Source organism: Homo sapiens, chromosome 22, assembly GCF_000001405.40.
Source record: "Homo sapiens chromosome 22, GRCh38.p14 Primary Assembly".
In the NCBI taxonomy this organism is placed as follows: Eukaryota; Metazoa; Chordata; class Mammalia; order Primates; family Hominidae; genus Homo; species Homo sapiens.
Genome location: NC_000022.11, coordinates 32,316,127 through 32,329,327, shown reverse-complemented (window position 1 = coordinate 32,329,327; position 13,201 = coordinate 32,316,127). Strand labels below are relative to the sequence as shown.

Genomic DNA, 13,201 nt, shown 5'->3' with positions numbered 1-13,201 from the left:
TCTCATGTCCTCACAGAAATCTCCATGTAGCAGATGAGTAAACTGAGGCGGGTGGAGATGGTGACTTCGAGCTAAGGCTGAGTGAAGATTGGTGCATCCTGGGGTCCTCTCTGCCAGGTGCACACTGAATGGCAAGGCTGGGCCAGAGCCCTCAGTTGCCTCCCAACAACTCTCCCCTGAAGCAGAAAAAAGCAGAAAAGGGGATGAAAGTGTGATGCAGAGAAGCCTGATCCAGACGCCAGCTCACTCTGGCGGAACCCACACATCCCTGAAGGATGGGGCTGGTGCTAGGGAACCCCCAGAGCCATGCTGGCACCAGTAGGAAGAGGAAGCAGGAGGCAGAGGGAAGACCTTCCCAGGCAGCCTGGCTCCACAGCAGATTTGCTGGCCTCAGTAAGCAGGGAGCTCCCCATCACTGGGGTGTGCAGGCCAAGGTCAGAGGCTCGTTCCCTGAGGGTAGAGTAGAGGGATGTCCAGATGCACAATCTCCAAGATCCTCCCTCTCCCAGAATCTCTAGCACTGCCCTGAGGCCTTGTATTAGCTAGCTGGTGCTGTGTAACAAGGTACCCCACAAGTCAGCAGCTTAAAACAAGCGTTTAACTCTTTCTGTGAGTCAGAAAGGTGTAAGTCAGGGTGTGGCTTTGCTGGGTCTCCTGGCTTGGGGTCTCTCAGGAGGCTGCAGTCAAAGCATTGGCTGAGACTATGGTCATTCTCAAGGCACTGCTGGGGAGGATACACTTCCCAGCTCACTCAGGTGGCTGGTAGTAGGTTCACGTGTTGGTTGGCGTTGTCAGTTGCTCACTGGGTGGGCCTCTCCGCAGGGTAGCTCATGGCATGACAGCTGACCACCCAAAAAGAGGGCTCTGGGAGAGAGAGTTCAAGGTGCAAAGCCCAGTGGAACCCACTTTTTTGGAGCCTAACCTTGGAAGGGACATCCCATGCCTGTCACTTCTATTCTATCCATTTGTTACAAGCGAGCCACTTGGCTCTGTCCCCATCCTTTGTTCTCCTTTGGGTACCAAAGGAGGGTGTGAGTAGCTGCAGGTGGATTCTTTGGAGGCTGTCTTAGGGCTGCATACCACAGGCCTCAATGTAGAATCAGAGTAGGGGGCTGTGAGCAGCCACATTTTACAGATGGGGGAACTGAGGGCAGAAGGGAAAAGTCAACAGTTGGTGTGTGTGTGCTGGGGTCTGGTGTGTGTGTTTTGGGGGCTCTGGTGTGTGTGTGTTTGTGTGTTGGGGGCTCTGGTGTGTGTGTTGGGGACGTCGTCCAAGGTCACACGGCTTGTGAATTGCTGGGGCTCTGGTGTATGTGTTGGGGACCTGGTCCAAGGTCACACAGCTTGTGAATTGCTGGGCCCAATTCAGGCTGGGGCCTGTAGGACTCTGGTTAAACATCTTGGGCCACATTAGAGGCCTCCCATGCCATGCCCGAGGTGCCCCATCCCGGCAGAGAGCATTCCTCAGAGTGCAGAGGGTGTGCAGGGAGGCCGGCAGGGCTCCAGGGACCTTGCTGCATCTGTGTCCGTGGACTGACATCCCCTGAGAGTGACTACATCCGTCAGGACACTCCCAACTGTGTCCCAAACCCGTGCACATTGGACCCTGTCAGGAGGACAGGTCTGCAGGGGATGGGAAGGTGAGTCCAGCCACCAGAGCTCACACCACACCTGCTCTCTGTCATTTATTCAGCAAACTCCCATAAAGCTCTCCCACGTGCCAGGCTCTGCACTGGGCTTGGAGAGAGGATGCCAAAAGGAACCACCATTGAGAAGATCTGGTCCCCAGCAGGCCTCGGGTCTCTCTTCAGCTCCTCCCTGGGCAGCATGGCCCTGAGCCTCTCTTTACCCAACTGTAAAATGGAGTCATTGTCTCTGCTTTCCTCCCAGTGAAGGTGCAAGAACTGGGCCATCCCATGGGTCCACCAGGGCTTTGACAAGGCAGGTGCTGGGGCAGAGCACTCTGGCCAGGAAGCAAAAGATGAAGGTTCCCATCTTGGCCCCAGCCTGGATCTGTGCCCAGTGATAGTCATCAGCCTGGATCTGTGCCCATTGCATTGTGTGGACATACCACGCCATGTTTCTCCATCACCTTTTGAGGAAACTTCTGTTGTTTCCACCTTCTAACCGTCATCAGTAAAGCTGCTGTGAACCTTCGCATCCAGGTCTCCTGGTGAAATGAATGCACACATCTCTCTTGGGTATTATGTGAGTGTCCCGTAGCTGCTGTAATAAACTATCACAAATGCAGTAGCTTAAAACAACATAGATTTAGTCTTGTACAGATCCGGAGGACAGCAGTTGGAAAGGAGACTCATGAACACCTCATGTCAAGTTATCAGCAGCACGGGGCCCTGCTGGAGGCTGCGGGGGTGAGTCCATTTCCTTGCCTGCTCCAGTTCCCAGAGGCACCCACATTCCTTGGCTTTTGGCCCCTTCCAGATGCAAGGACATCTCTCCGACCTCTGCTCCCGTGGCCACATCCCCTCCGCTGACTCTGAGCCTCCTGCCTTTCTCACTTAGGACCCTGTGATGGCAGCAGGCCTAGCCAGTTAATCCAGCCTCATCTCCCTCTCCCAAAACCCTCAACTCTATCGTGTCAGCAGAGTCTCTTTCTCCGTATTGAGGTAGCGTTCCTTGGGATGGCCATCTTGCCCCGAATAGGTTCCTTGATGTCCCTGTACTGTTTGCAGGGACACATTTACAAGTAGGATTAATAGCATCTCCTCCTTTCAGGTCCCTGTGAGAATCCCTTAGAAAAATTTATGAAGGTGGCCGGGCACAGTGGCTCATGTCTGTAATCCCAGCACTTTGAGAGGCCGAGGCGGGTGGATCACCTGAGGTCAGGAGTTTGAGACCAGCCTGACCAACAGGGTGAAACTGTCTCTACTAAAAATAAAAAAACTAGCTGGGCATGGTGTTGGGTGCCTGTAATCCCTACTACTTGGGAGGCTGAGGCAGGAGAATCGCTTGAACTCGGGTGGCAGAGATTGCAGTGAGCCAAGATCGTGCCATTGCCTGGGCGACAGAGACTCCATCTCAAAAAAAAAAAAAAAATACGTGAAGGCTCCCAGCCCCATACCCCACGTGCATACAGTCAGCGCCAACTATCAGAAGCCGCTGCCGCTGCTGGGGAACACATTGTCTCCAGTTCACCTGGAATGAGGCGTGTTGTGCCTCATGACTCCTCTGCTTTTGTCTGCAGGAAGGGTTATTGTCACAGAGGGTCTGCATTCTGGAAGCTTTCATTGTTATTCAAATTGCCAGGTGCTCTGTTACCTTCCCACTTAGGTTGCAGGTACCAGCCCACCAGGCCTGCCAGCTGCAGACCCTCCTCACCCCGTGGGCCCTGCTTCCGATTCCAGGCTCAGCTCCTCTCTCACTAGGGCCAGCAGGGCAGCCTGCTGCTCCCCAGCCTGCCCAGGCCACTGCCCTGGACGAGAGGGGCTGGCTGTGTGGCCCTGTGGTCAGCAGCACAGGCCAAGCTCCACTGCTAGCTAGATAGGCAGTTTTGGGCTAGTGACATTGTCTCTCTGAGCTTCAGTTGCCTCATCAGCAAGTTGCAGGGACTAGTGGTCCCCACCCCTGAGGCTGCTGAGAGAACTGAGGCTACACACGCATGGGAAGTGCTTGGCACAGTGCCCGGCGCAGAGGAGATAATCAGGACCCTGCAGCTCTAATCTTGCCGGTTTGAGAATTAGGAATGATCTTCTATGTCAACTCCCCACAGCCTCGGGATCAGGTCCAGACACCTTCTGGCAGATGAAGGCCTTGTGGCTGCTGCCTCTCCATACTCACCCCTGCCGGGAGCATCTTGTGCCGCGACAGCCATGCTCCTTGTGATCCTCTGAATGGCCTTGGCTGAGGCTGTTCCATCTGCCCAGAGTGACCTGTCGTCCCAACAAACCTTGTCCAGGGCCCAGCTCTGTGGCTGCTCCCGATCACTTTTTCCCCAATCTCCACCCCGGCCAGGGCCCCAAGACTGCTAGACACTCACCACTGACACAGCGTGGGTCTGCTGCTCTTGTTTTGGGGTCCTGGTGTGGCTCCCCCACCAGCTTGGAGCCCTCGAGGGCAGGGCCCGCACCTGACTCAGTTCTGAGCCCCCAGCACCCAGCCCAGGCCTGGCGAAGGCGCCACAGTTTTGGCTTATTGGAAGGCCTAGTGCGAGGGGCCAAGAGTTGACACTGAGTGAGGGGAGCACTGGTGGGCCTGGGCCTCGGGGTCTACGGGACTGGCAATGAGGGGCAAGGCGACCTGCAGAGTGCCTAGGAGGACACGTGACTCCCGCATCAGGGCAGGCGAGTGCTCTCCGTGGCAGGAGTCGATGGCCACACAGGAACAGCTTCCTGCACTCACAGGCTACAGCCCCGCATGTGACCAAGGCGTGCTTGCCATGAAAGCAGAACAAGAGTTGACATTTGCCAAAGATTCCTTCCAGAAGGCTGTGCAATGTGGAAGCGTTCCCGGGGCTACTGTGGGCTGATGGGCTGGGCTGTGTCCACAGGAGTGATAGCCCTGCTGGGCAGCGGTGAGGATGGCCTACAGTGGTATTAGGTGGGTGCCTAAGGCCCAGAGAGGTTAATGACTTGCCCAGGGTCACACAGCTTGTGAGGGGCAGAGCTGGGACCTGAACCCGGGCTTGTCTGACACTGAGGCCGTGGACATCTCTGCCATGGGACTCTACGGTGCTGTGTGGTACAGGGTGTTACAAAGGCCTGTGGGAGTCAGACAAGCTGCGCTGAAGGGGCGCCCAGTGAGTGAGGTCTTGAAGGATGTGTAGGAGTTTTCTAGGTGGAGATAGGGGAGGGTGTTCCCAGTAATGTGAAGAACACACTGGGGCTTTCTGGAAAGACTCCTTTGGAGTGGAGACCATAAAACTGAAAGCGGTAAGAGTCCTGTTGGTAAGAGGCCCTGAGGCCCAGCTAAGACATCAAAATTTTACCCTCTAAGAAACTGTAAGTAGAATGTTTTTTTTAAAAAGTCATTGATTTTGAAATATTTCATTTTCTGCAAGAGAATCTAGTATATATACGTATATATGTGTGTATATATATATACATATATGTGTGTATATATACACATACATATGTATACACATATATGTATATATATGAGGTATAAAAAGTAATGAAGCAAACACCACATTTTCACCACTGGCATGAGAAATAGAGCCGCGTCAATGCCATAGCGACCCTCAGCATGCCCCAGTGGCACACCTCCCCTCCTGGGTCCACCAGCCTGAATTTGGTGCTTGTCATTCCCAAACGGAGGTGTATCCCCAGGGAGTGACCAAAGCTGCTTTGCCCTCCAGGGACACCGCTCTGGGGAATGCAAAGACTGCCACACAGGGGCAGCCATCGGGAGGCCTCTGCCAAAGTCGGGTGAGGCTGCCCCCACCCCAGAATGGACAACCTCTTTAACATATCAGCCTGCAGCAGCAAAAAGGAGTGAGGAGGGGCATGGCTGCTGCCACCCTTATCCCAGAAGGGCCACCATGGGCCAGGAAGTCCAGACTGTGGCCCACAGGCAAGGGTTTGGCTCTGCGTTGTAAAAGTTTTCCAGGGAACTGAGCAGCTTAAAAGGGAATGGCCTGTAAAGGAGTGAGCTTACCATTCCTGGGGGAAACCAAGCAGAGGCCTCGACCATCACCTGGACCTCCTCTCCAAGCCTCCTCTGACTTTGTCCCTCTTCCCTCAGCCCCTGGGCTCCCTCTGTTCCAACCTTTTCCAGCCTAATGGCACCGTCCGTGCCTGCAGACAGGGTCTCCAAGGCCAGAGACTGAATAGTCACCAGGTCCTGGGCTGAGAATGAGTCCATGTCACATTCTTCCCTTCCTGTGCAGCATGGAGGTTGGAGATGGGCTCTTGGGTCAGGCCGTAACTGAACCCATGTCCAGCCTCTTGCAGAATCCAATGAACAGAGAGAGGTCTGGTAGAAAGAAAGGGACTTTATCCCAGAGCTTGGTTAAGGGGGAACATACAGGCTCCTGACTTAAGGGAATTGCTTCAGCTTTTGGGGAGGAAAGTGGAGTCTTTAAAAGGGAACTTGGTGTGAAAAGCATGCAGGGGAGGGGGTGAGGAGGTGCGGGGTCCACCTGACTTGCTTCTGTGTCTTCTCAATTGGGTAGTCTGGAGGGCGCCATGGTGGACAGAGCTAAGCTGTAAGCTGTTGTCTCGAGCCAATCTCCTGGTGGGGGAGAATCCCGGAGGGTGCCTGGTTTGGTTCAACATTTTGTCCTGAGAATTTCTAAGCAAATCGAACTATAGTTAGATACGCTTGCAGTGCAGGGAGTGCCTGGTGGAGAGGAGGTAAATGTTACAATTGCATTCCTGAAGAGCTAAGAGGTGAACACACAGGGAAAAAGAAAAAAGGTAAAGATAAGTTCTAGGAAAATTGGACACTTGGTTGCAAGCCCTCCTAAGCTGAAATTCTGACATTGTGGTCCAGCCACCACAAAGATCAGAAGAACCTTGGGTCATCTGCTCTATTTTGGTACATATATTTCTATTAATGCAACCCAAAGTCCTCTTCCTTCTCAGCTTCCCTTGGCATGTGAGAATATCTGCCTGTCCCCACACACAGCCATGCCATGCACAAGCCCAGGGGCAGGAAGCACTTCTCAGAACCCATTTGTGCAACCGAGGGCTCCACCCAGGAAGCAGCCCCCATCCTGCTCTTTCCCAGCTCCCTTGGGCCTCTGGCTGTTTCTTTTTTTTTTTCCAATAATTTTTTTTTTTTTGAGACAGAGTCTTGCTCTGTTGCCCAGGCTGGAGTGCAGTGGCGCAATATTGGCTCAACTGCAACCTTCACCTCCCGGGTTCAAGTGATTTTCCTGCCTCAGCCTCCTGAGTAGCTGGGATTACAGGTGTGCACCATTGCCTCTGGCTAATTTTTGTATTTTTAGTAGAGATGGGGTTTCACCATGTTTGAGCTGGTCTCGAACTCCTGACCTCGTGATCCACCCACCTCAGCCTCCCAAAGTGCTGGGATTACAGGCGTGAGCCACTGCCCCTGGCCTGCTTCTGGCCATTTCTACCATGTGGCCACCCTGTTGTAAGTTTCCACCTAAGAACATAGGAGGGCAGGTGAGGACGCGCTTCCCTTTTTCACTTGCCTTGTGTGATGTTCTCAGCTTTTCAGCCTCATGGTCGAGTCAGCCAGGCTTCATTCTGGTTTCCAACCCTTAGGTCTAGAATGTTGAGCTGGTCACACCTCCTGGTCCCTAGCTCCAACATCAGTGGCTGTGATGGGTCCCTTACTGTACCTGCCCATTCTCCCACCCTCCAAGCCTACTCCGTCCACCCCACTCTTTCATCTTAATTGAGTGTGATGCCCAAATTATGCACAATGCTGGGAACATGGAAGTGTTTTCACTTGTCATGTATAGTATTTCTCACCTTTGACCCAACGTTTTATGTGCAAGACCTATGCATTCTGCCATAGGCGCTCTTGCACCCTCACTTCTGAGAACTGTATGGAAGACTGTATAGGCACCATGGAATACTATGCAGCCATAAAAAAGAACAAGATCATGTCCTTTGCAGGGACATGCATGGAGCTGGAAGCCATTATTCTTAGCAAACTAACACAGGAACAGAAAACCCAATACCACATGCTCTCACTTATAAGCGGGAGCTAAATGATGAGAACACATGGATACATAGAGGGGAAGGACACACACTGGGGCCCACTGAAGGGCGGAAGGTGGGAGGAGGGGGAGGACCAGGAAAAAATAACTAATGGGTACTAGGTTTCATGTCTGGGTGATGAAATAATCTGTACAACAAACCCCCATGACACACATTTAGCTGTGTCACAAACCTGCACGTCCTGCACGTGTACCCCTGAACTTAAAAGATTTGTGTTCGTTTTTGAGACAGAGTCTCGCTCTGCCATCCAGGCTGGAGTGCAGTGGCGCGATCTCAGCTCACTGCAACCTCCACCCCCTGGATTCGAGTGATTTTCCTGCCTCAGCCTCCCAAGTAGCTGGGACTACAGGTGCCTATCACCATGCCTGGCTAAGTTTTGTATTTATTTAGAGACGGAGTTTCATTCTTATTGCCCAGGCTGGAGTGCAATGGCACGATCTCAGCTCACCGCAACCTCCGCCTCCTGGGTTCAAGCAGTTCTTCTGCCTCAGCCTCCTGAGTAGCTGGGATTACAGGTGCACGCCACCATGCCCAGCTTATTTTTGTGTTTTTAGTAGAGATGGGGTTTCAACATGTTGGTCAGGCTGGTTTTGAACTCCTGACCTGGTGATCCGCCTGCCTCGGCCTCCCAAAATGCTGGGATTATAGGCGTGAGCCACCGTGCCCGGCCTTAAACGTTTCTTAAAAAGAAGCAGCTCATGCTAATGCAGTTCCCTAGGAAGGTGACGGGTTGCCCCTGAAGACCAGCTCCCGGGCTTCTTTGGGAAGTACACAGAGAGAGGTTGCCGGATCGTCCACAGAGCATGGTGGTGAGTCCCCTTCGCGGGTGTTCACTTACCTTTCAAATCATCTGATCTCCTAAGTTTGGCCGATTTGATGGATTTAAAGTGACATCTCACTGTCTTACGAATTTTGTTATCTAGGTAATGAATAGATTTTTTTTAAAGCAGTTTTAGGTTTACAGAAAAATTGAGCGGAAAGTACAGAAATTGCCCAGGGGAGGAAGGGTGGGAATTCAAGACTAAGGTTCAGGGCAGAGGGCTCAGCGTGTAAGTGGCATTAATGCCACAAATCATGAATCTCAATGACTAACACCCAGGAAAGGAAAGCAGAGCATGGGAGGTGGCTGAGGACAGCTGCCCAAGCCTGCCTGGTCTCTGCATGGCTCTCCATTGTGCAGGAGCTGTTGTTTTTGACCTGGCATCCTGCTGATGGAGACTTCACTGATCCTAATCTTCTGCTGTGACCCACCTTTGTGTGATGAATGTGCTTGTACCTATGTTGCCCTTGTGAGCATGTCTGTAGGATAATCGTTACGTGAGACTGCTGGGTCAGAGGATGTGGGCATCTGTACCGTAGGCATGTGTCAAATTGCCTTCCAAAGAAATGACCCCAGCATCCCCCCCACCAGCAGTGAAGCAGAAACCCAAACCAGCAAATGCATTGGGTGCTCAGCCCTTTTGATCAGTGTCAGGGTGGCAAGTGAAGGAATGCGGATGCTCCCTTTTGTCTGCGCTCTGAAATCCTCTCTCATTATGGCTTTAATTTGCATTTCTCTTATTTTAGAGTTTGGATTTGCTGTTTGACAGTTTCTCTCTTTCTTCTTGGCAACTGGTCTGTTTAGATTCTCCCTTCCCGGATCCTTTGGGTAATTTCTCTTTTCTTGGAAATTGATCCATTTCTTGGAGGCTTCCTGGTTTCTGTAGAGTTGAGCAGGCAGTCGCTTTTGTTCTTCTGTTTGTTCAGTTCATCTTAATTGAGTGCTGACCCTGTGCTGGGCATCGTTATTGGCCCTGGGGATATAGTCATGGGCCAAAAGCAGCAAAAAGCCTGCTTTTATGGAGACTGCAGACAGTTTTTAAAATGTTTATGTGAAATATATGGACTTTTAGACAGCGATAATGCATTTGAGGTAAAGGATAATTTTAAACATGTGGCCAAGGGCTCACTAAAAAGGTGACTTAAAGGAGATCAGGGATTCAGCCTTGGGTTTATCTGGGAGAAGAGACAGGAGCATGCTGGTACAGATGGTGTATTAGTCAGTGTGCTCCAGAGGAACAGAACCAATCGCATATAGACACATATGAAGACACACACTGTAGGTAATTGGCTCCTGCAGCTATGCAGGTTGAGGAATCCAAAGGTCTGCAGTTAGCAAGCTGGGGACCCAAAAGAGCCGATGATGTGAGTTCCAGTGTCAGTCGAGGGCCTGAGACCCAGGAGAGCCAATGGTGAGAGTTCCAGTTTGATTTGAAGGTCTGAGACCCAGGAGAGCTGATGGTGTGAGTTCCTGTTTGATTTGAGGGTCTGAGACCCAGAAGAGCTGATGGTGTGAGTTCCAGTGTGAGTCGATGGCCTGAGACCCAAGAGAGCTGATGGTGTGAGTTCCAGTGTGGTCGAGGGCCTGAGTCCCAGGAGAACCCATGGTGTGAGTTCCAGTGTGAGTCGAGGACCTGAGACCCAGGAGAGCTGATGGCATGAGTTCCACTATGAGTCAAGGGCCTGAGAGCCAGGAGAGCCAATGGTGTGAATTTCAGTCCCACCCTGAGTCTAAAGGGAGGAGAAGAACGATGTCCCCACTTAAAGGCAGGCAGAGAGTGTGAATTCCCCCTTACTTGTTGGTTCTGTTTAGGTCTCCAGCAGGTTGGATGAGGCCACCTGCACAGGGGAGGACACTGTTTTCCTCCATCTGCCAGGTCACATGTTCCTCTCATCATGAAACACCTTCACAACACACCCAGAAAAATATCCCACCAAATATCAGGGCACCCTGTGGCCCAGTCAAATTGACACTAAACAAACCATTACCGTTGGAGTGGAGAGAATGAAAAGGAAAAGAGTGAGGAATAGGACAGGGAGGTGATGGGGTGGGAAGGGCTTTAGCTTCTACTCTTAGTGAATCTGGGAGCCACTGAGGGTTTTGAGGAAAGGGGTGGCATAATTGGACTTAGGTTTTCACAGGGCTTCTCTGGCTGCTGTGTTGAGAGCAGATGGAAGGGGCTGACCAGCACAGACACCCACTGCAAGAATCCTGCTAGTGTGGACCACAGTAGGAGTGGTGGAGGCAGCAGGAAGTGTAAGGCTTGTTGAGATTCCAAAGGAAGGGCCAATGGGATTTGCTCCTGGGTTGGATGTGGAGTGTGAGAGGAAAAGAGGGGTCAAAGATGACTCCAGGCCTCTGAGGAGAGCAACTGACAGGATGGAGTTGTATTTCCTGAGGTCAGAAAAATTGTGGGAAAAGCTAGATGGGGGAGGAAGGTTGGGATTTTCGTTTGGGATATATTAAGTTTGAGGTGTCTATTAAATATCAATTTGGTGACATCGAGTAGACACGTTGGCCATCAGAATGGAGTTTAGATGAGAGTTTGAGGCTCAAAAGTCATCAGCGTATCTCCAGCCTGGGTGACAGAGTGAAATTCCAGCTCCATCTCAAAAAAAAAAAAATCAACATATGCTGTTTAAATCCTTGGGAAGAGATGAGGTCCATGAGTGAGTAGAAAGAGTGAAGAGGAGGTCAGGAAGATGTGGACGGACCAACAAGGGGCTGGAGCAGGAGCAGTGGGAGGAGGAGGAGGACCAGGAGAGGGGAGTGCAGTGTCCTGGAAGCAGGTGGAGTGATCACTTGAGTCAATGCTGCTGTGAGGATGAGTGAAAGGGGGACTGAGAATTGACTACTGGGTTTATTAACATGGAGGTCTTTGGTGACCTTGACAAGGGCAAATTCTGCAGAGAAGTTGGAAGAAAAGCCTGTTGGGAGGGGCTAAGGGATGGTGAGAAGTGAAACTGGAGAGCAAAAGTGCAGAGAATCCTTCCAAGCAGTCACCTCCACCTTCTATGTATTATATCTCCTGCTTCATTAGATTCCCCAGCAGGAACATGTCTCACTATTTTTCAAAGAACGAGTAGTTGGGGCCAGGGATGGTGGCTCTTGCCTGTAATTCCAGCATTTTGGGAGGCCAAGGCAGGGGGATTGCTTGAGGCCAGGAGATCAAGATCAGCCTGGGCAAAACAGCAAGACCCCATCCCTACAAAGAATTTTTATTTAATTAGCTGGGTGTAGTGGTGCACACCTGTAGTCTTAGCTACACAGGAGGCAGGGGCAGGGGAATCACTTGAGCCCAGGAGTTTGAGGTTGCAGGGAACTATGATTGCACCATTGCACTCCAGCTAGGGTGACAGAGCAAGAGCCTGTCTCTAAAAAAATAAAATAATTTAAAAATTAAAAAAAGAACATGGAGTTATTTATGAGTTCCTTTCTTCTGCTGTTAACTCCATTTCTGTTTTCATCTATTTATTGCTATTGTATGTCTTTCTTAGGTTTGTCTTTCTTTTCTTTTTGAGTTGGGCAATTCATGCTTTCTAATTTATTAATAAGATCAGTGTTTTAAGGCTATATATGTTCCTCTTAGCATTGGCTCGTCTGCATCCCACAGGTCCTTAAATATATATTTTGTTATAGTCTAGATATTCTGCAGTTTTTATTTTTTGCTGTCTGTAACTCAAGTTTATTTAAGTGTTTATAGACTTCTTGGTGGCAAAGTTTGGTTTGGTCTGTGGTTTCATTATTAGTATTTTCAAATTCTAGTATATTGTGATCAGAGAATGTTGTCTTTTTTCTATTTTTTGGAATTTACTTTCTTTGTGGCCTGATAGTCACTTTTGTGTATGCACTTTCAAGAGCATTTGAATAGAATGAAGGTAGACTGTGTTTTACACACACACACACACACACACACACACAGAGTTGTTAATTAGATTATTTGGCTCCCTATCTCCTTACTTTTGTTTTTGCCAACTGCATATGGAATGGATTGAGAAAGGTGAATTAAAATGCACTAGGCAGGGCGTGGTGGCTCATGCCTGTAATCCCAGCACTTTGGGAGGCTGAGGTGGGCGGATCACCTGTGGTCAGGAGTTCGAGACCAGACTGGCCAACATGGTGAAATCTCATTTCTACTAAAAAGTCAAAAAAAAAAAAATTAGCCGAGCATGGTGGCGAGCACCTGTTATCCCAGCTACTCAGGAGGCTGAGGCAGGAGAATGGCTTGAACCCAAGAGGCAGAGGTTATAGTGAGCTGAGATCATACCATTGCACTCCAGCCTGGGCAACAGAGTGAGACTCTGTCTTTAAAAAAAGTAAAAAAAAAGCACTAATGCTAGCATACTCTGCTTTTTCTCCCTAAATTTCCAGTCTTGCTCTATGAATATTGAGGCTATGCTATTTGGTACATGAACATTCATTACTGTTAGATCTTCATGGTGACTCTCATCCTTCACCCTCACACAGTGCCCTTCTTTTTTCTCATTCAATATGTTTTGCCCTGACTTCAGCTTTGTCTGATATTAAGATTATGACCCCTGATTTAGCTTCATTTGCATTTGTTTGTTATGCTTCTGCTCATCCTTTTTTTAAAATTATGGTAAAATGCACATAACATTTACCATTTTAACTATTTTTAAAGTATACAGTTCAGGGGTATTAAGTACTTCTCACTGTAGTGCAACCATCACCATCATCCACCTGCAGAACTTTATAAAAATCATCTGCC

At 50.2% G+C, this 13,201-nt stretch overlaps 1 protein-coding gene and 1 long non-coding RNA gene across 6 annotated transcripts in view; both read left to right on the top strand.

The window, feature by feature from the left end:
- The window catches only part of LOC107985561 (uncharacterized), a 29,247-nt gene extending 17,056 nt beyond the window's left edge, over nucleotides 1–12,191 (top strand). For both annotated transcript variants that reach the window (XR_001755500.2, XR_001755499.2), the window contains exon 2: nucleotides 1,891–12,191. This is a non-coding gene — a long non-coding RNA (uncharacterized LOC107985561). The remainder of the gene's footprint in view (nucleotides 1–1,890) is intronic.
- The window catches only part of SLC5A4 (solute carrier family 5 member 4), a 136,600-nt gene that overhangs the window by 25,736 nt on the left and 97,663 nt on the right, over nucleotides 1–13,201 (top strand). The window lies entirely within an intron of this gene.